This window comes from Homo sapiens, chromosome 3, assembly GCF_000001405.40.
Source record: "Homo sapiens chromosome 3, GRCh38.p14 Primary Assembly".
In the NCBI taxonomy this organism is placed as follows: domain Eukaryota; kingdom Metazoa; phylum Chordata; class Mammalia; order Primates; family Hominidae; genus Homo; species Homo sapiens.
In genome coordinates, this window is record NC_000003.12 from 169,371,262 (window position 1) to 169,399,170 (window position 27,909).

Below are 27,909 nucleotides of genomic sequence, written 5' to 3' on the forward strand. Positions count from 1 at the left end.
AAAGACAAATACTGCATGATTTCACTTATATGTGGAATCTAAAGTAAAAAATGATAGGAACAGAGAGTAGAATGGTTGTTCCCAAGAACTAGGAGGTAGGGGAAATGGGGAGATGTTGGTTAAAGGGTACAAACTGGCACTTGTAAGATGAATAAATTCTGGAGACCTAATATACAGCATTGTGTCTATAGTTAATAATAATGTATTGTATACATGAAATTTGCTAAGGGAGTAGATCTTAAGTATTTTCACTACACACACACACACACACACTCACACACACATAACTACATGAGGTGATGGGTATCTTAATTAGCTTGATTGTGGTAATCATTTTACAATGTATATGTATATCAAAACATCACGTTGTACACCTTGAATGTATACAATTATTATTTGCCAATTATACCTCAATAAAGCCAAAAAATAAAAAATAAAACAAACACAAAAAATCTGTTGCATATGTCTAAAATCTCAAATTATTTCATTCTTCTTCATTATCAAGCACACATTATTTGTCAGCCTCCTGATGCTGACCACCGTTGTTAGGTATCTTAGAAGTGCAATGTTGCTGTTGTTGCCATTTTAATGAATATTCCTGTCTTAGTTAACATAGATTGCCTGTTTCAATATGTAAGGTGTCACTGTAGAATCTAAAATCAAACTTAAAAGTGTGAGAACTATTTATTTTTAAAATGACACAAGGAAGCACATCTTCATTGTAATATCACATTTTAGGATTACATTGTTGGAACATAATGTATTGCCCAAGCATTGATTCAAAATTAGTTAATGAATTTCTGACTCCAGTGTAATCTGTTTCCACTATTCCTTTCCACCTATTTAACACAGCATAAGAGATATTCACTCTCTACTCATGTCATTATGTTCTATGTGTAAATGTATGTATGTTCGAAAGAAGAAAACTAAGTTCACAGCCAATATTTTAACTGATTAAACTAATTTGGAGCAATTCTGGCTGAGATGAACACAAAGCCGGGTCTGGCACATGACAGGTGCATCAACAACTGACTTATACTTGCAGAGTTTTGTAATGGCCAATGATAATAAAGATCAGCAAAGAAAATGTGCCACAAGGCAATATTTTAAAGAAGCAAACTTTTTACTTTTTTCAATGGCTTATCTCAGAGTATTACAAACTAAGCCACCTAAATTTTTCTTTCACGTAAACAAGAAGTTTGTGATCTCTCCTGAACCCTCGTTTTCATTGTTAGTTAGAAAACGGTCAGTGCTTCCATTTCAAACCAACCCAGAGTCAAATAATTAGACCATCCAGAGATAACTGAACTTCTAGGAAACAAGAAATTGGAAAAAGAGCAATAACTTATAAAAATCAATCGATAAAATATAATAATTGGCTTTTGCCCTAATAACCCTATGCTAGATCTGCATTTTAGCCAAGCTGCTTCTGCTGTTGTCTTGTTAACATTTATTGGGTTCTTCTGCCAGCTCTGTGCTAAGCTCCTGACACACAATGTCACATTTTACCCTTACAACAACTCTAATTGGTTAGATACAATTATTATTCCTACGTGACATGTAAATAAACTGAGGGGCAGATAATTAAAGTTTCCCAAATCACTCAAGCCCACAGGACCCCTGAGGAGGACTTGAGACCAGGAAGTCTCACTCCAGAAGAAGCCTGTTTCCCACTGCTCCGCATGCAGTTACAATGTTACTACATTGTGGGCACTTTTAGAAGGAAACATGAGAAAAACCTCATCCTGAACCAACAGAACTCTAAAAAGTTATTTCTACTCAGTAATTTTAATCAATCCGTAACTCTAAAGTTCATAACCTGAGAAAAAGCTTTCTATCACTAATTATTTTCAAGTCCTTTAGACAAGCACATTCCAAGTCTTTAAAGATCTTTTTGTTGGAGAGAAGTCACATGCATTGTGAGGTGGCAATTGCTGCCAAACTCTAATATTATTTTTAAAGTTTCTCTTGGTTGGATAAATACTGGTTTGAGAGAAAATCATACAAATGATGTTTCTGGTATCTATAGCTTATTTTTACCAGACCATATATTTTGGTCTATAAATTATATTTTCAAAAGTATCTTATTTCTCTAACATATAAACAAAGGATTTTCCAAAGTACCTTACTTGGGAAATATATTCAATTTTTTATTCTTAAATAAAGTTCAGAAAGATGGCCCCTATTTATAATGTTATCTTTGACCTTTCTCTTTTAAAAATTTTCTTTGAAGAGACTACCACATTTCTCTACTCAATTCTGATTATATAACGGCTAATGACGTGGGGCAGTTTTTTCTTAAGTTTTTATTTTTAATTTTTGTAGATACATAGTAGGCAAATATATTCATGAGATATTTTGATAGAAGCATGCAATGCATAATAATCACATCATGGAAAATGGGGTATCATGAGGCAGTTATTATTGACCCATTGACCAAATAAAAAGCAGGGACCATTCAATTGGAGTAGTTTCCCTAGAATCACACAGTTAGTGACAGAAGCAAGACTGGATTATACATGTCTGAATTCCAGGTTCTAGATTTGTCCATGGACTACTTCAGCTCTCATTCCTTGCCTCCTCTTTCAGAGTCACATAATCCTATATTCATCCATCCATTCTTTCATTTATCCATTCATTCACTCATTTATTTATTGAACAATTATTTGTTGAATGTCTGTGTTATAGACTGAATGTGTGTGTCCTCCTAAAATCCATATGTTGAAGCCCTAACCCCCATTAGGGCTATTTTTGGAAATAGGGCCATTAGGATGTAATTAAGGTTAAATAAGTTCACAAGAGAGGGTCACCAATCCAATAGGATTAGTGTCCTTATATTAATAAGGAGAGAGAGCAGAGAGCTTGTTCTCTCTCTCTCCCTCTCTCTCTCTCTCTCCACCTGCCCCAACCCTCTCTCTGCTTATGCACACCAAAGAAAGGCTATATGAGGATGAGATGAGAAGACAGCTGTCTGCAAGCATGGAGGAGAGCGCTCACCAGAAACCAAAGCAGCTGGAATTTTGATCTTGAACTTCTAGCCTCCAGAATTGTGTGAATATAAATTTCTATTGTTTAAGCCACCCAGTTTATGGTATTCTGTTACAGTAGCCCAAGCTGACTAATACAGTCTGCTTATTTCATTTAATGGCACTATTTTCAGAATAGTGCCACAGGGATTAAAAAAATATATGGAACACAATCAAAACATTGCACTAGGAGAATACACCTTTGCAAGCTCTCAAGAACTCTTGCTTTGTTAGGGAAGCTATGTAAATAATCTGGATACTACACAATGTTTTAGTGTTTTCAGCCCAAGAAGTTCACCCCAGAAGCCTGCTTTCTACTGCTCTGCGTGCAATTCTCACGTTGTCTCATAATGGCTATCTTTAGAAGAAAACATAAGATAACCCTCATCTTTAATAAGTGGATCCACCTTTCTTGGTGGGACAAAATTTAGGTAGTAATATATTGTAATTAGAAAGAACATAAGGCTGGGCATGGTGGCTCATACTTTTAATCCCAGCACTTTGGGGAGCCAAGGTAAGAGGATCACTTGAGGAAAGGAGTTTGAGACCAGCCTGGGCAACATAATGAGACCCCATCTCTACAAAAGATGTTTTTTTTAATTAGCGAGTCATGGTGGTACACATCTGTAGTCCTAGCTACTTGGAAGACTGAGGCTGGAAAATGGCTTTAGCTCAGCAGTGAGCTTTGATCATACCACCAAACTACTCCAGCCTGGGTGACATAGACAAAGGGAGACCCTGTCTCTAAAGAAAAGAAGAGGAAGAAAGAAAGGTCATAGATGATATTATGGAAGAAGCAAACTTGAGGAATGAATAGAAACTTGCTAAGGATGGGGAGGAAAACAGTTTCCCAGGTAGAAAGAACAGTGTGTATACAGCTAAAGCAGTGTTTAGAGGGAAATTTGTAACACTAAATGCCCGCAGAAGAAAGTGGGAAAGATCTAAAATCAACACCTTAACATCACAATTAAAAGAACTAGAGAAGCAAGAGCAAACAAATTCAAAAGCTAGCAGAAGACAAGAAATAATCTAAGATCAGAGCACAACTGAAGAAGATAGAAATATGAAAAATCCTTCAAAAAAAAATCAATGAATCCAGGAGCTGTTTTTTAAAAAAAAAATTGACAAAATAGATAGACCACTAGCCAGACTAACCAAGAAGAGAAGAGAGAAGAATCAAGTAGACACAATAAAAAATGATAAAGGGCATATCACCACTAATCCCACAGAAATACAAACTACCATCAGAGATACTATAAACACCTCCATGCAAATAAACTAGAAAATCTACAAGAAATGGATAAATTCCTGGACAAATACACCCTCCAAAGGCTAAACCAGGAAGAAGTCAAATCCCTGAATACACCAATAACAAGTTCTGAAATTGAGGCAGTAATTAATAGTCTACCAACCAAAAAAAGCCCAGGACCAGACAGATTCACAGGTGAATTCTACCAGAGGTACAAAGAGGAGCTCGTACCATTACTTACAAAATTATTCCAAACAATGGAAAAAGTGGAACTCCTCCCTAACTCATTTTATGAGGCCAGCATCATCCTGATACCAAAACCTGGCAGAGACACAACAAAAAAAGAAAATTTCAGGCCAATATCCCTGATGAATGTTGATGCGAAAATCCTCAATAAAATACCGGCAAATTGAATCCAGCAGCACATCAGAAAGCTTATCCACTACGATCAAGTCGGCTTCATCCCTGGGATGCAAGGCTGGATCAACATACACAAATCAATAAACATAATCCATCACATAAACAGAACCATGAAAAAAAACACAGGATTATCTCAATAGATGCAAAAAAGGCCTTGGATAAAATTCAACAGCCCTTCACGCTAAAAACTCTCAATAAACTAGGTATTGATGGAACGTATCTCAAAATAATAAGAGCTATTTATGATACACCCACAGCCAATATCATACTGAATGGGCAAAAGCTGGAAGCATTCCCTTTGAAAACTGGCACAAGACAAGGATGCCCTCTCTCACCACTCCTATTCAACATAGTATTAGAAGTTCTAGCCAGGGCAATCAGGCAAGAGAAAGAAATAAAGAGTATTCAAATAAGAAGAGAGGAAGTTGAATGGTCTCTGTTTGCAGATAACATGATTGTATATTTAGAAAATTCCATCGTCTAAGCCCAAAAACTCCTTAAGGTGAAAAGCAACTTCAGCAAAGTCTCAGGATACAACATCAATGTGCAAAAATCACAAGCATTCCTATACACCAATAATAGACAAACAGAGAGCCAAATCATGAGTGGACTCCCATTTACAATTGCTACAAAGAGAATAAAATACCTAGAAATACTACTTAAAAGGGAAGTGAAGGACCTCTTCAAGGAGAACTACAAACCACTGCTCAAGAAAATAAGAGAGGACACAAAAAATGGAAAAAAATTCCATGCTAATGGATAGGAAGAATCAATATCATGAAATTGGCCATACTGCTCAAAGTAATTTATAGATTCAATGTTATCCCATCCAGCTACCATTGACTTTCTTCACAGAATTAGAAAAAACTACTTTAAATTTCATGTGGAACCAAAAAGAGCCCATATAGCCAAGACAATGCTAAGCAAAAAGAACAAAGCTGGAGGTGTCACGCTGCCTGACTTCAAACTATACTATAAGGCTACAGTAACCAAAACAGCATGGTACTGGTGCCAAAACGGATAAAGTAGACCAATAGAACAGAACAGACACCTCAGAAATAACACCACACATCTACAACCATCTGATCTTTGACAAACCTGATAAAAACAAGAAATGGGGAAAGGATTCCCTATTTAATAAACGGTGTTGGGAAAACTGGCAAGCCATATGCAGAAAACTGAAACTGGACCTCTTCCTTATACCCTATACAAAAATTAACTCAAGATGGATTAAGATTTACATGTAAGACCTAAAACCATAAAAACTCTAGAAGAAAACCTAGGCAATACCATCCAGGACATAGGCATGGGCAAAGACTTCATGACTAAAGCACCAAAAGCAATGGCAACAAAAGCCAAAATTGACAAATGGGATCTAATTAAAGAGCTTCTGCACAGCAAAAGAAACTATCATTAGAGTGAACAGTCAACCTACAGAATGGGAGAATATTTTTGCAATCTATCCATCTGACAAAGGGTAATGTCCCAAATCTAGACGGAACTTAAACAAATTTACAAATAAAAAACAAACAACCCCATCAAAAAGTGGGCAAAGGATATGAATAGACACTTTTCAAAAGAAGACATTTATGTGGCCAACAAACATATGCAAAAAAGCTCATAATCACTGGTCATTAGAGAAATGCAAATCGAAACCACAATGAGATACCATCTCACACCAGTTAGAGTGGCGATCATTAAAAAGTCAGGAAACAACAGATGCTGGAGAGGATGTGGACAAATAGGAATGATTTTACACTGTTGGTGGGAGTATAAATTAGTTCGACCATTGTGGAAGACGGTGTGGCGATTCCTCAAGTATCTAGAACCAGAAATACCATTTCACCCAGCAATCCCATTACTGAGTATATACCCAAAGGATTATAAATCATTCTGCTATAAAGACACATGCACATGTATGTTTATTGCAGCACTATTCACAATAGCAAACACTTGGAACCAACCCAAATGCCCATCAATGATAGACTGGATAAAGAAAATGTGGTACATATACACCATGGAACACTATGCAGCCATAAAAAAGAATGAGTTCATGTCCTTTGCAGGGACATGGATGAAGCTGAAAACCATCATTCTCAGCAAGCCAACACAGAAACAGAAAAACAAACAGCGCATGTTCTCATTCATAAGTGGGAGTTGAACAATGAGAACACATGGACAGAGAGAGGGGAGCATCACACACCAGAGCCTGTCAGGGGGTGGGGGGCTAGGGGAGGGATAACATTATGAGAAATACCTAATGTAGATGACGGGTTGATGGGTGCAGCAAACCACCATGGCACGTGTATATCTATGTAACAAACCTGCATGTTCTGCACATGTATCCTAGAACTTAAAGTATAAGACCAAAAAAGAAAGAAAAAGGAAGGAAAGAAGGAAGGAAGAAGGAAGGAAGCAAGGAAGGAAGACAAGAAAGAAAGAAAGAAAGAAAGAAAGAAAGAAAGAAAGAAAGAAAGAAAGAAAGAAAGAAAGAAGGAAAGCAAGCAAGCAAGCAAGCAAGAAAGAGAGAGAGAAAGAAAGAAAGAAAGAAAGAAAGAAAAGAAAGAAAGAAAGAAAGAAAGAAAGAAAGAAAGAAAGAAAGAAAGAAAGAAAGAAAGAAAGAAAGAAAGTAAGTAAGTAAGTTTGGGGACTTAATACAATATGGAAACCATCAATTAGACATGGTTGATATGGGAGAGAAATGTGTCAAAATGACACATTTTTTTGGACTGAACAACTAGATAGATGGCAATGGAATTTATTAAAACAGGAAATGTATAAGAAGGGGAGCTTTGCAGGAAGAAAAGAGCAAGGGCCCTACTAGAGACAGCAATGATTTGTTCAGTTATGATAGGCTGAGTTTCCATTAGGGGAACATTTAATGCAGAATCTGATGCATAGTAGTCCCTCAATAATTGTTTGCTGAACATGGATTTTCTCTGTATTTATTTGGGAGGAGGCCTAAGAGGTTTTTTTTTCTCCTTCATCATTTTTTTCAAAAATGAAGGCATATCAAAAAGAGAGGTCACACTAGTTAATCACAATTATCTCTAACTAAATAGGAGGAAAACCAGCTAGAGTTGAGAAAAAGATGACATGGGGACAAATAAAAGTCATCCGGCAGGGGTTGGGTGAGATGCCTTTGAGAAAGTGCCCTTGCTAATCATGATTGGGTTTTGTATTAACTAGGTAAGATTAAAAGAGAAAAAAAAAAAACCCTAAGAAGAATCAAGAGCTCAACTGCTCCTCTGTGGAAAACAAGTTTGCCAAAATTACAAAAAGTCATTTCTTTGGTTTTTTTATAATACCTAAAGAGCAGACAAGCCACATTCTCAAAAGGAAGGGTAATCGTTAAAATGATGGGAAAAGCTACTGAATTGGCCATCAACTGAATTCTTGAAGGAGAAAGAGGAGAAAGGGAATATGTGATTTTCGGCCAAAAAGTCAGGAACTATTTTATAAAGGTGTCTTGAATTCCAAGCAATAAAAACAACTCAGTTTTGACATAATGAAAAAAATCATTTTACATTTCTCAAGGTAAATATTTGCCAGTGTATATGTGGAAGACATTTCACTCCAAGGAGAAAAAAATAATTATTTTTGAATTTCCTCCAAATGCAGAATTTTCCCCAGGTTCATCCACCAATCCATAGGTATTATGTTTAAAACGGCACAGTCCTGCATTTACCAAGCCTGTAATTGAAAAGTGATTTCATTATTAAGCTGTGGTTTATTCCAAGCCTTCTGGATAATCTTGATGAGTATTGCACTTGTTGCTTAACTGTGGAGATTTTGTAATAAAAGTTTAATGAGTTACTTATTATTAGAATGTTTATAGCCATTATTTTAAGGTGAACAATAATGACGTAAAGTTCGTACGCATTTGGTTTAAAACGTATTCAACTCACATATCAGTTAATGCTACAGTGATTTTTAAAAACTCTCTTATCAGTACACGTGTCTAAAGGCAATGCAGCTAAACCTCAGCTTTACTGGGGCTATGGTTAAGAATGAAACTAAGGAAGGATTTCCCACTTGAATCATGTCAAAGCCGGATTCTGGCATTTCAGAATTTGAACAAGAATTGCTTTTATTATGGCATTTTGAACAGATTTCACAAGAGGATACATATAAAGCAAGAGGACAAAAAGTTGAAATTAAGTCCTGAAGGCACTGAATATTCATTTCTATTTAAAAGCTAACCAGATATTCTATTAATGATCATAAATATTAAGGAAACATACCGAAATAAATCCAGTTTATCTGATTTCTGTCTACTGAAATGCTATGAAACCAAAGGTCAATCACATCTCTAAAAAATATCTTACCCCTGCAGAAACTGTCTACAAGTTTTTCAGATAGAAACAAGATTTTCCAGAAATTATGATGTAATGATTCAAGCACAAAAGTTTTCAAGTTACAGAAATAAATGGAAAGTATATATATCTACTGAATCTGTATAAAACTTACACTCAGAAGAATAACATAGTTACCTGTCTTTATTGAAATAAATTTAATTTAGATTCTTTAATCAGACTATAACTTCTAATTCTTAGATGTTGCCAAATGGATTTTATGAAAAATATGACTGAAACGAGTGACTAATTTTCACAACCATTTTGTGCGTCTGTTTTGATGCACAAATTACTCATTAAATCATTTGAATATAAAGAACCATAACCTAATTCAGTGATGAGTACAGTGCTGACATTCTGGAAGCATGTATAATTAAAGCAGGGTTATCAAAAGAGAGGCAAAATATATTAGAAAAACATAGCACAAAATGAAAATAAAACCAAATTAACTCATAGTCACAAAATAGAGAAAACAAATGTTTTCCTCCAATCCTCCAACTCCCCACCCCAAAAAAGATAAAATGCAATAAACATGTCATATGATTATGCTTGTTTGCTAATGCCACATGCTACACATGGTCATAGCCAATGTTTCCAAACGTTAACTATAAAATCATATCTTCTTCCTTTAGTATTTTTTCAAATCAGTACAATTCTTTAACCATATATTAGGTTGGGTTCCCTCCTATCACGCTATACCTTTAATCAATACATTGTTTGTATTAAGAAGTGAGATTGTAAAGGAAGTTTATTCTTAAAAACCTGTTGAAAACATATTGTAACAAATATAATTTGCTTATTTTGTGGATGCTTAAACAATCTCTTCTTTACACAGCTGCAATATATAAATGTGTTAACTCAAAATACATTCTTACCTCCCATCCATAACTGGGGTCTTTCAGGTTTGACCTCTGCTCTCCCACATAAGGCCCAAACTTTTCACCTACTTCGATCTTCCTTTTGGTCCATATTCCTAGTCCTGCCCCAGGCATATTTGACTCTCGAAGTTCAAACTCAGCAGGAATGGGGATATCATCAGGGATGTAGATGGGGGCTTTGTAAGGAGAACCCTCCTTTGGAGTGAATGCTTCACTGGATGTGGCAGGAGAGCATGGCTCTTGAATATTGAGGGAGGGAGTGCTGGCTACTCCATCTGCATCTGGCATTTCTTCCAAAGGTATTTCAGGGTAGTTGCCATATACACACTCATTATCTGTGAATAAATAAGAACTTCATGAATTCCTTCTGATATTGAAGAGACAAAATTCCACAGGGGTAGCCACCTTATTATGTTGTTCTTTGAAGGATAAACAGGAAAGACCATTGTTACGATGTGCCTTCATTAAAATCTTTATTATTTACAGGCCAGGGAGAGGCTAGAGATTATGGCCTCTGTGGTTTATCTGTGGTGAATCCATAAATCAAATGAGCTAATCCTCAATTGTCAATACTTGCATGGGCTAGTTCAATTCATTATCCATCTGGGAAACAATCAGCAACTTCATTATTGGTCTGACTAAAGTACAGACAAGAAGTTAAACATGTGTGTAACTACAACCCCCAAACAATTCCAAATTGGGAGCTGACAGGATTCTAAAATATATTAGAAAGTTTTGTCATGCAATGTTATCTTGGAATAAACATAGGAGAGTCATCAAAGATTCCAAAGGCTGCCATGTGCCACAAGGCTTAAATGTGTGTGGCAGGATTATTTATTGGAATATTAGTGTTTTTTCTTTCTCTATATTTCCTTTCCAATTTTGAACATGTCACCAAGCCCTTGGTATTTCCTTGCCTCAGTAACTTATGCAGAGAAGAAAGTTAAAGTTACCTGAAGCCAGTGATGCCTCTGGGTATTCGTAAACGCTAAAATCGTTAAAGAAATTGGGTAAATTTTCCAGCGGGGAAAGGGAGAGGAAGGGTCCCTTGAGATGCACCAAAAAGACAGAGAATTTCCTCCAGACAGAGAAATGAGGGAGATCAGAAACGCTTTGTATGGGGCACTGCTCATCTTTACGGAGCAGCACCTGGGGAGGTGGCAAGACCTTTGAACAGACAGCAGGGTTGGATAGCTAGGAGTTACGACACTGAGCACGGAGGACCTGAGGACCCCCAAGGCAGCACGGCGCCACACTTGAAGTAAACGAGTGGACCGTGGGAGACCTTAAGACCTCTATGAAACTTGTATGGGGATTTTATGAAACCAATCAAAGGGGATTTCAGTTGTCTTAGAGCAAATGAATACATTTCTTGTCTGCTAGGATCACAAATTGAAAGTCATACCTGATTTGTTTGATTCATAGAACTTCAAGGAAGGAACTAAGAAAAACAGATGAAAATTACGAAGAAACAGACTTCGATCGAGCTAGTCAAAGGTTAATTATTTGAAAAATTAGCTGAGTGTGGTGGTATGCGCCTGTAGTCCCAGCCACTTGAGAGGCTGAGGTGGGAGGATTGCTTGAACTTGAGAAGGCTACAATGAGCTATGATTGTGTCACTGCTGCACACCAGCCTGGCAAGAGACTGAAAGCCCATCTCAAAAAAAAAAAAAAATAAAAAAAATAAAAAAAGAAGGTAAAATGGGTTGCCTCCAGCTCCATGATCAGTGTTCTACTATAGCCTGGATAACCACGAGTTAAGGATGATGCATCATCCCTAACTCGTGCATCAAGTTGCTGATTAAACTAGGTGACTTTAAGACCCTACCAACCCCGCAGTTCTATCAATTAAAGTCTTCTAAGAGAGTTTATTGGGCTAGAAGATAGAAGACCTTCATTATTCAGATTTATTATTGTAACAGACTATAACACTCATCATCAATTGCCCATCAAGTAATGACTCCTGTCTCTTAAAGTTTTGTGAAGTGTAAAGTGATAGCACATGCAAAAGTATTGTTTAATGAGGTGCTTGGTTCTTGGTTCAAACACTGAGATAATGCCATTTAAACCAAGCATATAACTGAATTCCAGAACCCAACCTTATACCTATGGGACATAGGTTCTCAACATACAAGCTCATTATCATTCAAGTTCAGCATGTCCAAAATATTGTACCTTATCATCTGCCCTCAAATTGATTCTCTTGTTCACTTTCCTCTTTCTACTATGAATACCATCTCTCCCTTAATTATCCATGTCTGAGGCTTTAAAATAACATAGCCATTTTCTCTCCTTTGTCTTCCAAACTGTTCAGTCACTAAATGCTATTTGTTCTTCTTGCAAGATTCTAACCTTCATCCAATTCTTTCAAATCCACATTTTCACACCTAAATATTTTCATAGTCCTTTAAATGGGTCTCAACCTCCAGCTTCTTTCCACTATCCATCAACACTGAGCCTGTTTAACACTGCTGAGTTTACCTTCCTGGCAGACCAATTTTCCTGTTTGACAGCCTTCAATAATCTCCAGTGTCTGCAGGTAAAGTATAAACCTCTTAGGTTTGGACTAAAATCTCTGTGGTTTTGAAACCATTCTTCCTTTCCATCTGATTCTCAATGCTCCTCAAAGGGAACCCCCAAGTTAGAGTAAACTTACTACTCTCCTCTGAGCTCAGTGAGTATTTCTTCTTCAGTTCTTCCTGCCTGGCACTCCTCTCTCTGCACCTCTGCCCGACAAACTTCTAGTCTTCCTCCTGAGTCAAATTCCAGCTGGTCCTATCACCGTCCCATTTAACACTAGTATTCTCTTCCTTGAATTATTACACAATTTTATCCCTCAGTTTGGCAATCATATACCATGCATTGCTGCTTATGGTTTAATGTGTATGATTGTTTCATTCCCAAGTAGGAAATAGGTCCCTGATGGGAGACGCTAGGACTCTTACTTTTTCAGAATTGTCCAAGTGATCTGCATATAGGTGTTTAACAAACACTTGTTAAATATATAATTAATCTAACATATAATTTTATTAAACTATGAATCCAAATCAATACTTTTTTTTACCAAATATAGGAAACTTTTGATCCTACAAAGCACCTTTAAACCTGTAGAAATAGAACATGATGAATTGTCCACTTTTCTCCAAACCCAACATCAAAGGAAACAATTTTAATAATTCTCCAAAGAAATATTATCAGAGAAGTATACTTTAAGGTCCAAACATACTCAACAAAATCCATCTAATTTTATCGTTCAGGGAGATTTTGCAATTCAACCTAACATTTAAAAGCTCATTAATGGTCTTAGCACAGGTAAAAACCTATAAAAACATCTCTTTAGAACTGTAACATTCAACTACTGCAAATGCAAAGTTATTTTACACATTCTTAAAGCGATTTCTCCCCCATTGTTAGAATTCTGTTTTTCTTGAGAAATATAAATTGTAAAACATTGTGTACTCTATAAATGTGTCCATGTAAGCGGGAGGAAACCAAAAGGCACCAAAATAAATAGAACAATATTCCTCCCGTAATTATCTATTAAAGATCAGTAAAATTTCCCCTACTTCCTCAAAGTGTCAAATCAGTCATACTTTCAGTTTCATGAAAGTGATCTTTAAAAAAGGATAGAGGCCGGGTGTGGTGGCTCCAGCCTGTAACCCTAGCACTTTGGGAGGCTGAGGCAGGTGGATTGCCTGAGCTCAAGCGTTCGAGACCAGCCTGGGCAACATGACGAAACCCCATCTCTACTAAAAATACAAAAAATTAGCCGGGCATAGTGGTGCATGCCTGTAGTCCCAGCCATTCTGGAGGCTGAGGCACAAGAATTGCTTGAGCCCGGGAGACAGAGGTTGCAGTGAGCCGAGATCACACTATTGCACTCCAGCCTGGGCAACAGAGTAAGACCCTGTCTCAAAAAAAAAAAAAAAAAAAAGCATAGAGACAAGCCCATCTGTGCCCTCCCACTGGCATAGCTTATCCCATGACCTCTGAATTACCCACAAACTCTCCCAATGCATAATCTAAGCGAGTGCATTTAGATTTCAGTTCCTGTGGAGACAAAATACATGTGTGTGCCCAGGCAGCTGCACAGAAGAATTTGAATTTAAAGCCTGAATGCAATTCTGCTTACAATGACAAAAATGTACAATTAAACCTAAAGAACAACTTACATAGGTCAAGCAAATCCACAAGAAGAACTCACGGACCTATTCATCCATATGCAAGCACTAAATATATATGCAAGTGCAGGCAATTTGTTTTGAAGCCACTTTTAATCTAGTATCATCCAAATTAAATGTAAAAAAGGCTGTGATGACAAAAGCGAAAATATTAAACTGCTGAGTTTTACGTATCAAAACATGCAACAATATTTCAATGTAATCTAGCATTATGAAATTTTCAACAGCAAATGCAGTTTATCACACCACATTGAATATTTGCATAAACCAAAATAAAATAATGCCTCCATATACATTACTCAAAAACTATCCAAAAAGCTGCTAAAACATTTCATCTAAATGATAAATTACTTCAATTATCATATCCCCATTAAATCTCTGTTATTGGGGAAAATTGGTAGATCCTTTCCCTCAGCTATAACTATAGTTAATTAAAGCATTTCTCAGATATCACACTGACAGATTGGGCACGTTTACAATAGGTAAGTATCAGGTAAGAAGTGCCATATATATCAGTGGTCCCATAAAGATAAATAACACTTGTAACTTCTTGGAGCTGAGCTGTCTGCTACTGTAATTTGCTTCATGCATCCTTTAGGCATGTCATTAACTGAGTGAGGAAAGAAAGACAAGCATATTGTTGGATTTGAGACAAATGATTTGGGAAATTGCTCTTGGAAGTCAACCTCTTCAATTCAAATTTTAAGTGTTCTAATTTCCTCAGAGACCAAGGGAAAGGCCACATTTTGATTAGATTATATTTATTTATATGTGTCTTTGAATAACTACCATAGGTTTCCACTTCAGAAGTATTCCATTTTGGAAACATATCAGAACCTTCAAAGAGAAGAAATTGCAGAAATAATACCAATAATAGTAACTTCCATAGATGTATCCACATTTTCTCATTTTAATGCTCAAAACAATCCATTGAGAAAATGATGATAAGAATAATCTTCCATTTTCCAGATGTAGGACCTGATATTCAATATATCCAAAGTCAGCTGAGACTAGCTGGGTGTCCAAACCCAGTCCTCCCTTTAACTCTTAGGCAACTTGTTTTTCGATCCTTAAAGATATGTTTTAAAGTTTGTTTGTTTTATCAAAATCGTAGCCATAATGTGTGAATACTTTGGCTTTTGACTTTTTCATTGGATTATAGTTTATTATAAACCCTTCCTTATGTGTATTTTACTATTTTCTAAAACTACATTTAATTGCTTTATAATATTCCATTATAGGAATCCACAACAGCTGAACTACTTCCATGGATTTTATTTATGTTGCTTCTAATTTTCTGATATCATAAATATCATGAAAATGAGCCTTCCTTAACATAAATTTTTATTGTCATCCATTTCAATTTCCTTAGGTTAGATTCCTATAAGAAAACTTAGTGGGTATTGACAGATTGCTTTTCAGAAAGTGTATAGCAATTTACACTTCTACCAATTATACTGGCATTTATTATTATGTCTTGTTTTTAATAAAGAAAATTATATATCTATTACTGCTTAATTCACATCTCAGTTGATTACAGAAACTAAATATTCTTATTTGTCATTCAAACTTCTTTATTTGCAAATTGTTCATTGTTTTTGCCCACTTTTAATTAGGCTTTCATGTCTGTCTTATTAATGATAAATAAATTAGCCCTTGGATATTGTATTTTAAAATTTCCTAGTAGACAATTTGCCATTTGGTATTTCGATTTTTTTTAACTTTTATGGAACTAAGTCTATATGTCTTTTGTGATTTTTACATTTTTCTTACAAAGTCCTTACCTACAGAAGGGAAAAAAAGATTCCCTTGAATTTTCTTTGAGTTTCATAGTTGCTTTTCTACCAACCTTGGATTACCAATGAGTGATTTACTGCTGAGTGAAAAGCAGAAAAAAAAATGATTTCATTTATTTGAGCGCCTGTGAACGGCAGGCTAGAAAAAAATGCCATTTCACTCGTAATTCTTCGGTTCTTATTTGCAAGGCTGGCCTAAATGCCTTCTCTTTTTGTGGGTTTTATATAACTCACCATTTGTTTCTTTTGGCCTTTCCGCCTAGTTTAACTGCAAATCTGGTCAGATGCCATTCAAAATCCTGAGTTTCACCATTAATGCCCATCATAATACTTATCACTCAGCATTATCATTAGTGATAGTAACATGAATAATTTTTCTCTCTACTCTTCACATTAGTTCATTGATAGAAAATATTCAGCAACTAAAAAGTTTAATATTAAGAGCATATATACATACTTTGACTATAAAGTAAGACTGATTTCTGTAGTTATTAAGAAGTTAATTATTTATACTCAACTGTACACATATATGCATATAATACACACATCCATGTGTATTTGCAATCTGTGTGTAGGGGTGTGTGTGTGTAATAGCTCCCTAATCTTAAAAATAGGCTGAGACAGAAACATGATTTGAGATCCCAGGCAGACTGGTTGAGATCATAACTACATGAAACAACTGCCAAGAGGAGCTCAACTAGGGAATTGAACAGATTAGGTAACTCAGAAATTTAGACATTTCCCCCCATTATGTTCCTCATTGCAGTTTTGTAATAAAAACATGAGCAAACTTCAAAGGAAGCTCTGTAGTAAAGGTTAATTGCTACTAAAGAAGAGGGTGGGCCCAAGCGCCAGTACTTTGTGCCCAACTTGCAAGCAGACAGGAAGGATTACACGTGGCTGAGAGCGGAGGATGTGTGCCCTGCTCTAGGAGGAGAACAGCTCGGCCAAACCTCAAAGCCCCACTAGGGACCTCCTGGTAGGACGTGAGCACATGAGCACAAGTCCATGAGCTGATGCCTGCTAACAGTGCGGCAGGGAAGGGAGGGGGAAGACATCAATTTCCTTACAAAATTAAAACTGGACATGCTCTTCTTCCCTTGTTAGGACAATTCCAGAGCAGTTACAGAGGCTTGTTTGTGAGAAAGCAGAGGACTTCGGGAGCCAGCTCTTCTGCACCAGTAACACAGTGAATAAACACGTGCTGGGCTTGGGGAAAAGGGTGGAGCTCAACTAATGCCAGATGCACAAACAGAACAAAGAAGGAGGCTATGAACTGGCCAGCAAAATCTTCTATGAGAATGGCCCCAAGATAATGAAATTTAAGATCCCAAAGAAACGAAGAAAGGAAACTAGTAAAAGTAGGGAAAATGAATTTCCAGAAAACTGACTTAAACAAGCTGTGAAGGACTGTAGCAAGGGTGCAGAATTACAGGCTTAGAAAACAGAGACATTGAATAGAATGGGAACTGCTGATGGGCATAGTCTTTAGCATGTCCTGCTCCAGAGGGGAGTGAGAAGAAAAGAGACTTAAATGGAGTGTTTGGACACTGGACTGAATCTGTAGAACCCGTGTCTCTAGATACGACCATTATGTTTGGAAATAATCTATCAACATGGCTTGGCACTAGAATTTTTTTAATGACCCTCTAAGCTTCCTTGCACTTTTAGTATTTGCTACTTCATAGTACCATGCTATTCCATGTCTTCCTTATGGAACTTTTCCCCAGTGTTTCCTAAAAATATTTCATATACGAGTTGTCAAAAAGACTCAGAATGGAAGTATTGGGGGCAAGATAGCAAGGGAGATGGCAAAGAATGTGATACGGATGGAAAATAAGGGACTAAATCAATGAGCAAACTTTTATTTTTCTCCTGGTATTGCGGCATACTGTTGCATGTCCTGTGGCTTTTAAATCTGGTTAAGAGATTTTCCACTCCTCTAGGAATTTCACAGACATTTCACTAAATAAATATGATTTGGGAATTAAACTAGTACTCCTAAGCTATTAAAAAATGGGCTTCGCCTCTTCCAAAACTTTCTCTTCAGAGATGGAACTAAGCTTTTGTCAAAAGGTAATGGAAAGAAATTGCTAGAAAATTCATACTTGAGGTACCAGTAAAGCCATTTGGTATCTAGTTACTGAATCTAAAAGAGCTAACGCAAAGACATTAAAGTTCTGTGAGTACTATTCCAAAGGAAAACATGAGCTGGTTAATGTTTGGCTTATTCTGTTGTTAAGGAGCCACCGTCACCAATATCCACTGGAATGACCAGGTAAGAACAGACTTATCACATATCAGATAGATAGTTTTTCTTTTATGTTTTAGCTATGTGCCTCTACTTTCTTTTGCCAGTACAAATTTTTGAGAGACTTTTAGCAACCTCTGATGGACCTGATGGGCTTTTTCTTCATAAGCTTTCTATGTCCCCAAAGTGATTTTCCTTCAGATTCATTTAGAGGAAAGTAGAACCGTCCTGAATTCATGCTGCAGCAGACTGGGTGGTTACTCCTCAGGCAATCTGAAATGACCAGAGTACAGCCTTTCAGTATTCCAGCCATATCTACAGTAATTATTTGCCAGCATATCTAAAAGAAGGCAGGCATTTCCTGTTGCACACAAATGGGACATTCTTATCTAAATTACTGTTTAAACAGGTATTTAAGAAAAGACTATCACAGTCAGGAATTTACTGATGACGGAACACATTAGTTTAGGGCTGGACACATTAGTTGAGGACTAACCATTGTCAAGAAAGGAAGTATATCAGCATCAGGAAGGTATAGAGAATATTTTACAACTCCCATATGGGTCAAGATGGAGGATTGTAAACTATGCCATTTGCATTTGGAGAAAGCAGGAGGGTCACAAGTCCTGGCATGGAGTTGTGCTTGCGTCAATATGTTGCTGAACCCTGGAGTAACCTTGAGAGGCAGAGGCTGAGAGTCATAGCTGCTTGGGGTCTCTGTTTCCCTATCCATAAAATAAGCATGTTGGACAAGTTCATCCCCAGGTCCATTCCACTCAAGCAATCCCAGTTCTACATAGTAGAAACCAGAAGGTGGTCAAAATTTGGTGTGCCAAAAGCTTATAAAATGTATTTCCTGGAAAGACACTCTGAGAATTGGTTTGGTCTCTCCCAACATGTAACCTAGGAGAGACTGTGCTCTAGCTGCCTAACCTTGCTCTAACCAGTGAAACTGGAATTTATTCCCAGTAGAGGCTTATAAAACTGGGCTGTTATTCTCACATTAAGTAGACTGCCCTCTGGTGAGGACTGTGGTTTATGTGTGGGCAGAAGGTGTGGTTTACTACCTCTAATTTGTTTATGTTGTTGATGGTGGTTTCAGAAGAAAGCTGCACCCCTTCACATGCTAAAGAGTGACCGGATTTACTTCCTTTAAAAAAAAAGTGTTTAAAGGTGGGCAGAGACATGAGGGAGCATTAATGTGCCATTGCTAATGGAGGAGCAACTGGGATCCCTGTGACCACAGCTCTGCTTCATTCAGCTCTGCATGTGAAATGAGAGCCCCAACTTGTTTATTATAATTACCTAAGTGTGGCTTGGTGGCTTTTGGCAGAGATCCTTCTTGCCTCCAAAGGAGAGACCAAAACTCAGGAGCTACACGCTAAAGGAAGGAGGATGGTGTGCATTCTGTAGCAAGGAGGCTATAATTCTAATATATTCTGGGTGAAAATATTCAAAACAACCCCCAAAAGATGAAGATCAAAAAGTAAATGAGATTGAGATCTACCTTCTACCACATGGCAAACAAAGATAGGCATGCAGGAGAACTGGATAAACAGCGTAAATGTAAGTTCAAATTCATTTTCACAGCTGACTTGATGCAGACCCTTCCCTATTACCACAAAACAGAAGAGCTTTCTTACAGCCAGGAGTCTTACATAAAGAAAAGAAAATAATTATGCATGTCTGGCAGAAGAGGGAGTTGTAGCAATGGCTTGCTGGTAAAACGGAATATGAGCGAGCAATAGAACACTAACTTAACCACACTCTTGGTTTGATAAGAAGCAGAGAGTGCCCAAAAGATTGAAATTTTGTTAGAGTCTCAAAATGTTTTATTTGAAAATGAGCAATGGTCCTTGTTCTCACAAGGTTTGGTAACTAAAAGACAGCAATAATTTCTCATCTTAAAGAGATTCTGTGGAAAAGAGTCCTTGATTTAGCTAATTTTAGCTTGAACTCTACCCCATTGCAAGCACAGTATCTTCAGTGTTAAACAAGTTTAGATGTTGCTAAGGAGTGCAATTTTCTGCCCCCATTCTAAGCTCTAAAGGCCCCCATATTGAGTTTCCCAATACCACATCATATTAAATGTAAAATCATTCAAAACCACAGAGATGAAGAGAATGTCATTGAAAAACATAAAGGAAGATTTTTTGCTTTTTTTAAGTATGAGAAAACATTATATATTTTGATTAAAAATGTTTGCAGAAAAATATGAACAGATGTGCTATGCATATGTGTATACATACACCAAATAGCACTTATAATTTGAGAGGGGGTAATTTCAACATTGCTAAGTGGTAACACAAGCTAGGTATTTAAGGGAATGATATAATATGACAACTTCATAGACTACCAAACTATGTATGGTCTCTGGAAATTGTCATTATCAACATGTACAATAACTAGTAGCATTAGGTGGTCTGTACAGTATCCTTCATGTCTAATTGAGTCACACAGTCTAAGACACTTGATGGGCACCAGGCACTGCCTTCTAATGGGAACTGACTTTCAAAAAAAAATGCATTCAGGGCCTCTTCTATATAAATTACTATCGTTTGCAGCAAGAGAGAATTATAAATGTTTGCTGGCAAAAACTAAATTTATTTACAAACTGAGTCTAATTTATTTATGGCTGCAGTACAATCGGCTTTTGTTGAAATATTTATGTTATCTGTACTTCTGCCTCACTAAACTCTACCACAATCATAAACACTGTTGAAAAATTATTTGCAGTTAGCAGGATTTAAGCTACCCATTATATCACCAGCTAGTGCCAGTAAACTTTTGCACTGGTTGATAAAGTTTCCTCCGTGGAATAAATATACATTTGACTTTCAAAATCTTTGGTAGGCTCCATACTATGAAAAGTGAAGGATTAAACAGATGTCCCAGACTTCACTAGTTTTGTGTGAATGCTTCAATTGCACATTCCAATTGAAATTTTGTGGATAGACTAGAAAAGTGCACAGATTTAAATCCTTTTCTAGCATTAAAAGAGGAATTCGATGATTGAAGTGTTGAGGTGATAATCTTTGCCAAAGATGCTACTGCTCAGACTTGAATTCATTTACCCATTCCAAAACATTTATTCAATAAATACCACGTTGTGCCTGGAGCTGTGTAAGTTGCTAAGGATAGAAATAGAGTTGAATAAGATAAAATGTCTGCCCTCAAGTAGCTTAAAGTTCAGTAGTGAAGACATAGATGGTAACGTATGTGACAATGAAATAAAATAAGGCCTAAGATGAGGTTAGGAAAAGTGCTGAGTGCTAAAAGAGTTGAGTATAAGTAATTCTGCAATTGGGCATGCCAGTCTCGTAGAACCTCTATCCTTAAGTTTGCTAGAACTATATATGTACTACATCTTTAAAGAAACCTCTTATTTTGATTATTGGTGGAAACGCAGTTGCCATTCACATTTATTTCTGAGTATCACTAAGCTCTTCATAGTAACGTGAGCATCAGAATATTTTGGGGGGATTATCTACCCTCACTGATGCTTCCAAATAACTCATAAAATGATGAAACATTGCCACATGTTCTAAAATGGCACGCCCACATTTCCATTACAAAGTAAGCCAACAGAAAACAGCACAGAGTAGTGGGTAGTTCCCATGTCAACTAAATATGTATTTCTGCTTGATCTGCTTCACTGAAAAGGGCCCAGAAGTTCTATTGTGAATAGGTAGGACTGCTGTGATACCAGTGAAACTCCCACCAGCCTACAAATGATCCAAACCACAATATTTACCTTCCAGCTAGAATTGAAAGTTATTCCAAACTGACCAGAGATAGTCCTGATGGATCTCAGAACAGTGATGTATTCAAACGAGGACTGGCCAGAGCACCCTGGAACCTCCAGTGGCATGGCACCAATCTGGAGTAGGAGTTCTTAGAGAAGTGTCAGTACTATTGTCTTCTGGTGTCTTACACTACCCACCAGATAATGAATTTTTCTCAAATAATTTCTACCTATGTATACAATAATCAAAGTAACTTAACAAAAAGCCAAAGTAGCAAAATTCATTTTGAGAGCTGTATTTATTTGATGGGGGAAAAAAGATCTCAAAAAAGGAGCTTTTCATTCATCAAGGTGCTTTGTAAAAAAGAATACCCAAAACTCACATATTTGGAGCTTCATATTTAGTAATATAATCATAAAATATTTTGCTGTCCACTTATATCAACATGATATAAAACAACTCTTACTTAGATCCAGGTGTTATTCACTAGAATAAACAATATCTCAGTGATTTTTTTGGTGTTTTGCTGATTTTTTTATGAGTTTATTCTGGTAAACCTTCTTTAACTGCTTGTTCTAACAGACTATAGCTATGCTAATTAAGTTACATAAAATCTTCTGGCATCATATTGCTTAAACCTCAGGATAATCAATTGAAATAGATATTTCAATAGCATTGTAGAATCTCAGAGCTAAAGAAAGCAAGAAAATTTTCAATTTATTCATCTAAACACCTAAAATTCTTACTAACTTAAATATATTGTGGATAAAGCCATGTAAATCTATACGAACCATGACTGCTCATGAGAAAAAATTATAACTGTTATAATTCTATCAAAAGCACATAATGTTAAGAAAATCTACTGGAGACAGGAAAGATACCTGAAGTCTATAGAATACACAATAATTTAACAGGCTTTTGCTATTGTTGCTTTGTTGTTTTGTTGCTGTTGTTGTATTAATACGTCTACTTCATTCAAGTTTTTAATACTCATCACCACTATTAAATCTTAACAACTATGATCCAACATATGCCACAAAACATTAATCATTTAGCCAACAAGACTTCTACATGTAAATCACCATGAGGGGGTCACAAAAAAGAATAAAGTGAAATTGCTGATTTCAAAGGACTTACAATCTTGTTGGGGAGATAAGGCAAATGCCCAGGAGGATTTAACTTATGTAATATAAGGCTGCATTAAATAGAGTCAAGTGAATGGCACAGAAAATGACCTCAATGATCAACTCTAAAAGTGATATTCCATTTTTTTAAGAGAAAGCTGAAGTGAATGCTGGCTAGAAATTCTAGTTGTGATGAAGGCAGATAATCAAGAGGATTGTGAAACAAAGGGGTATAGACTGTGGCCAAGCCTTGGAGAGGTAATGACTTTAAATTGGATTGAGTTTATCATATTTGCAGAGGTACGGCAGACACAGAAGAAAGGATTAGAGTGATTTCCACTTTCTATTATTTGACATAATGAGAAAACAGAGGGTGGTCCACATCTCTGGTACATATTATGAGCCATAGGAGATGCTTAACATGTCAGGTTTTGGTAGCATTGAACTCTTCTAAATAAACATATTTATTTGGACATAGTTAAGTCAAAACAAGTCACCTGGAAAAAAGGTTACAGGTCATTAATTTGCATAGTACAAAGGATTTATGAATTTTTAAATTAACCCTCCTGGATCTCGACACCATTTCAAAGAGTAGGGCATATCTGCATTTTTCTTCAAAGTTTAGATAGCTTAAAGGGTCAAATGAAAATGCTTGGCTGATGAAAAACCAGCTGAGCCAATTTGCTTTTTTCTAGATGGAAAAGAAGTGTATTATAAATTCTTCCAAGAAACAGCATTATATACATCAGGTCAAATATATATACAAAACAAATGAGCAAATAAACAACTGCAACAAAGTTGCATAAATATTTGGTGAGTCACAAAAAGATCATGCACACTCCAAATTCAAGAGAGCCCAAGTATGAAAGATGATTAAAGCACACCTCCACTGAAACTCCACTAGACTATAAGGGGATGAGGGCAGGGAGCATGGGTGCCTGTTTCACTGCCGAATCCCCAGGATCCAGCAATGTTTCTAGTTCATTACAATGATTCAATGTGATTGTGTTGAGTTGAAAACATCAGCCAAAGCACACCAATTTTACTGAAATTGGCTGGTACCTTTTTCTCCTTCTCTAAATTGGGAAGTTCTAACATAAATGTTCAAAAGGCATTACACAAATTGTGTCCTTAGTCTGCTTAAAGGTACGGTAAAAATGCCCCACTGAAGAAAGGGAAAGTGACTACTAAATTTACACACACTCATATGTGCACACATAAACACACACTCCAAATGCTCAAGATACTGATAGATTAACAACCAAACACAGTCAATTCAGAGTTTATATCATGTCCTCTTCACATTGCAACCTTTTCAAACAAATTTGTTTTTCTTTTAAAAGAAAAAAGGAATAAAAAACAAACAAAAAGTCTCTACATGGATAATCCATATTTATGTCCTTTTCTCAAGACTTTTACTAAGTTCTTCAGGAAGAAGAACAGTAAACCAGTGTCAAATATTACCAACTAAATTTGTTTCCACCAACATTTGCAGCAGCACCTGCCATGAACTAGCCATACCTTATAGATTGTAAAACATAAGCTTCATGAGGATAGGGACCCTGTGTGTTTTCTTCACTGGTGCCTTTGCAGCACCAAGCATAGTGTCTGGTACATAGCAAAGGTTCAATAAACAAATAAATATAAAATTTGTTAAATAAATAAATATAAAAATGGAAGAATACAGAAATGAGCCTTAAGGAGTCCAGAAACTATAGAAGCTATCCCCAAACCAGGCTGTGCCTCTGAATTCCATATGAAGCTTATTTTAAAAAGTACTAATTATATGGCATTTCTAGAATTAGTGATAAAGAATTCTTACTGACCTGATAGAATCATTTTTCATAACATCTGCAGCTTCCTGTTCTATAGTATGAATTTACAATATCACAAGAAATTCAAATAATCTATAAACCATAGATCCAAGCCAATTCCTGTTTAAACCAGAAGAACACAATGGGTTCAAGTCCACCAAACTAGTTATATAACCCCAGAAAATTCTCTTAATGTATTTGAGCCTCAGTTTCTTTATTCATATTTGATGCTGTCATATATGGTACCCAGGAGTCACATATGACAATAGAGCACATGACTTGTGGCTATTTCCAATTGGGATGTGCTGTAATTTTTAAAAATATAAATCAGATTTCAAACACTTGATACAACAAGTAAAATATCCTGTTGATAATTTTTGTCTATTGATTACATGCTGAAATAATATAATTTTGGATACACTATGTTAAATAAAACATATTAGTAAAATTAATTTTACCTGTTTTGTTTTACCTGCTTTAATGTGACTACTAGAAAATTTAAAATTACTATGTGGCTCACATTTGTATTTCCATAAGACAACACTGGTTTTCAAAATATGACACCAAGTTATATTAAGAATTAGAATAGCAAGGCATGGTGGCTCACGCCTGTAATCCCAGCACTTTGGGAGGCCCAGGTGGGTGGATCACTTGAGGTCTGGAGTTCGAGACCAGTGTGACAAACCTGGTGAAGACTGTCACTACTAAAAAAAATACAAAAACTAGCTGGGTGTGGTGGTGCATGCCTGTAATCTCAGCTACTCAGGAGGCTGAGGTAGGAGAATTGCATGAACCCAGGAGGCGCATGTTGCAGTGAGCAGAGATCAAGGCACTGCACTCCAGCCTGGGTGACAGAGTGAGACTTCATCTCAAAAAAAAATAAATAAATAAGAATCAGAATAAATGATGCTCTTGAGCATCTTTTGTAAGCTTTAGAGTAATATACAAATGCCAAAAGTTATTAAGTGACAGATCTAAAATGTCATTGTCTTTCAGGTCTACCTGCACTCAGCTAGCAAAAGATTATGAAATGGTTCATGATCAATTCATTCTCCACCACTCCCCTATTAATAAATCTCTCAATAAACACTTGTTGAAACCAAATGTAGAACAAGATCAACATAGTCATTGACATGGTACAAAAAGATGAGCTAATTCCGCAACACTCCCCTGCCATAGTTTCTGTGACGATGCAGGAAACAGCTTGGGCTAAACAACGTTGGAGGAAGGTTTACATTTGTAAGAGGCATTATTGGCCAATGAACAATGAGCAATATTTAATGATAGACGATGAAAACCTATTCCATTATTTCAGCCCAAAGTGCAGGATATGAGGGAAGTCATAAGATTAACCTATCTCTTTCCCTATATCTTGGATAAGGCAGTTCAATTCCTCCCACAAATATCCCATTCCATCACTTCAAAAACAATGTGTGCTTTGAAACACCTGGCAAAGAAAAGAACATGAAGAACTTTCTTGATGCTCTTCCATTGCTATGGTGCAGTTGGTGAACCTCCAAAAACCTTAGCTGACGAATGAACATGAGACAGATATTCCCAGAGTGTGTATACATGACACGACCTTGATAACATTCTCAAGAGTTTTAAATTCAGTTAGGTTCAGAGATAGGCAAACCCCACCCAGCATTCTCCCAAAGTTCTATTATATGAAAGTGAGGAGTAGAAAGGATTCCTCTGTGGGTAAAAAGGTTGAATTGTCATGGGCAGCTCATTCTGAGCTTTTACCAGGTCATGCCTCTAGACATTTTATGAATATTAATTGATGTATTACTGCAATGTAAGGCAGTTGCTAACCTAACATTCCAGCCTTTGTTCCAAGCCTTGTATCATTTTCTTCTGGGCTGTTGATTTTGGAGTGGCTGTGTAATCCTAGTGAACTGCTAGCAAAGAGTGATCAATCAACACTTTGAAAGCTTCTGGTTCATCCCAATACCTGGGATGAGCTTTGATAAATGATATTCTTGGGACTGTGTGAAATTTACATTGTAGAAGTAGTTAAATACATGTGGAAACATGGCAGGCTATTGTTTTTGTTATTTATTTATATTTAAACAAAATCTTTTGTTTGCAACAAATCCTCACTTGGTCCAAGATTATTCTGCTGCAAACTCAAGTCACTACATTTCTATATGCACGAACATTAGTGCTCTCTCTATGGATTTAAAGATTGCCACTCATTTATACACATTTGGGGGCACATAAATAATAATATAAATAGAAAAATGTTCTACATCCCATTTTAAAAACCTGGATAAAGGGATTGAAGAACATATCATACACTTGTTCATGGATGAGTACTAAATTTATCTCCCAATAATACTTTATCCTGGGTCATCAAGATTGACATTCATTTTAGAAAAATGTAGGAGGGTTAGAGTTCTTCAACCTTCTTCACAAAAATCAGCCACATCTTTTTGAGGACCTCACAAAGTTCTTTTGTGACTGGTCACAGTCAATGTGCCCATCTATTTTGTGTCCATATATATCCTCTGGAATGCGGCTTCCCTGTGTTGTTTTCTTTGTCAGCCTTCTGATCTTCTCCATTCTCTGCTCCTGGTGAGGGCCTCCTACTGTTCTGAGAGCTGTAGAGAGAGCAGTGAGCAAGACCAACAATACTCCTGCTCCTGTGAACCTTACTGCTTGATGGGTAGAGGAGGAAACTAAACCAACACACACATAGAGAACATCAGAAAGTCTTAGGTGCTCAGCAGAAAAAGCAGGGTGAAATGTATGTGCGGGTGGCTACTTCAGGTATGGAAGGCCTTGCTAAAGAGGCAGCATTGAGGATTTACACATTGAAACCCTTTCAGATCCCATTTAGGTGTCATCTCATCTGTTAAGGGTTCCCACTCTCCATGTTCATCATCTCCTCAAGCTCCAGAGTGAGTTCCTTGCTTTATGGATCACAAAGTACATAAAACGTACCTCAAAACATATCCTTTTGTCAATTGCCTGTTGCTATTAGAGTGAGTTTTATTTATGTCCATCTCCTCGTTTTGATTTCCAGTGACTTTAGGGCAAGGGCTGTGTTTCATTTACCTTTATATC

At 36.6% G+C, this 27,909-nt stretch overlaps 1 protein-coding gene across 6 annotated transcripts in view; it reads right to left on the bottom strand.

Moving 5' to 3' along the window:
- Window positions 1-27,909, bottom strand: part of MECOM (MDS1 and EVI1 complex locus) — a 580,206-nt gene that overhangs the window by 287,755 nt on the left and 264,542 nt on the right. For 5 of the 6 annotated variants that reach the window (NM_001366473.2, NM_001366466.2, NM_004991.4 and 2 more), the window contains exon 2: window positions 9,926-10,263. The exons of the other annotated variant lie outside the window; for it this stretch is intronic. In NM_001366473.2, the coding sequence (NP_001353402.1) occupies window positions 9,926-10,263 (338 nt within the window). The remainder of the gene's footprint in view (window positions 1-9,925; window positions 10,264-27,909) is intronic. 6 annotated transcript variants of the gene reach the window in all.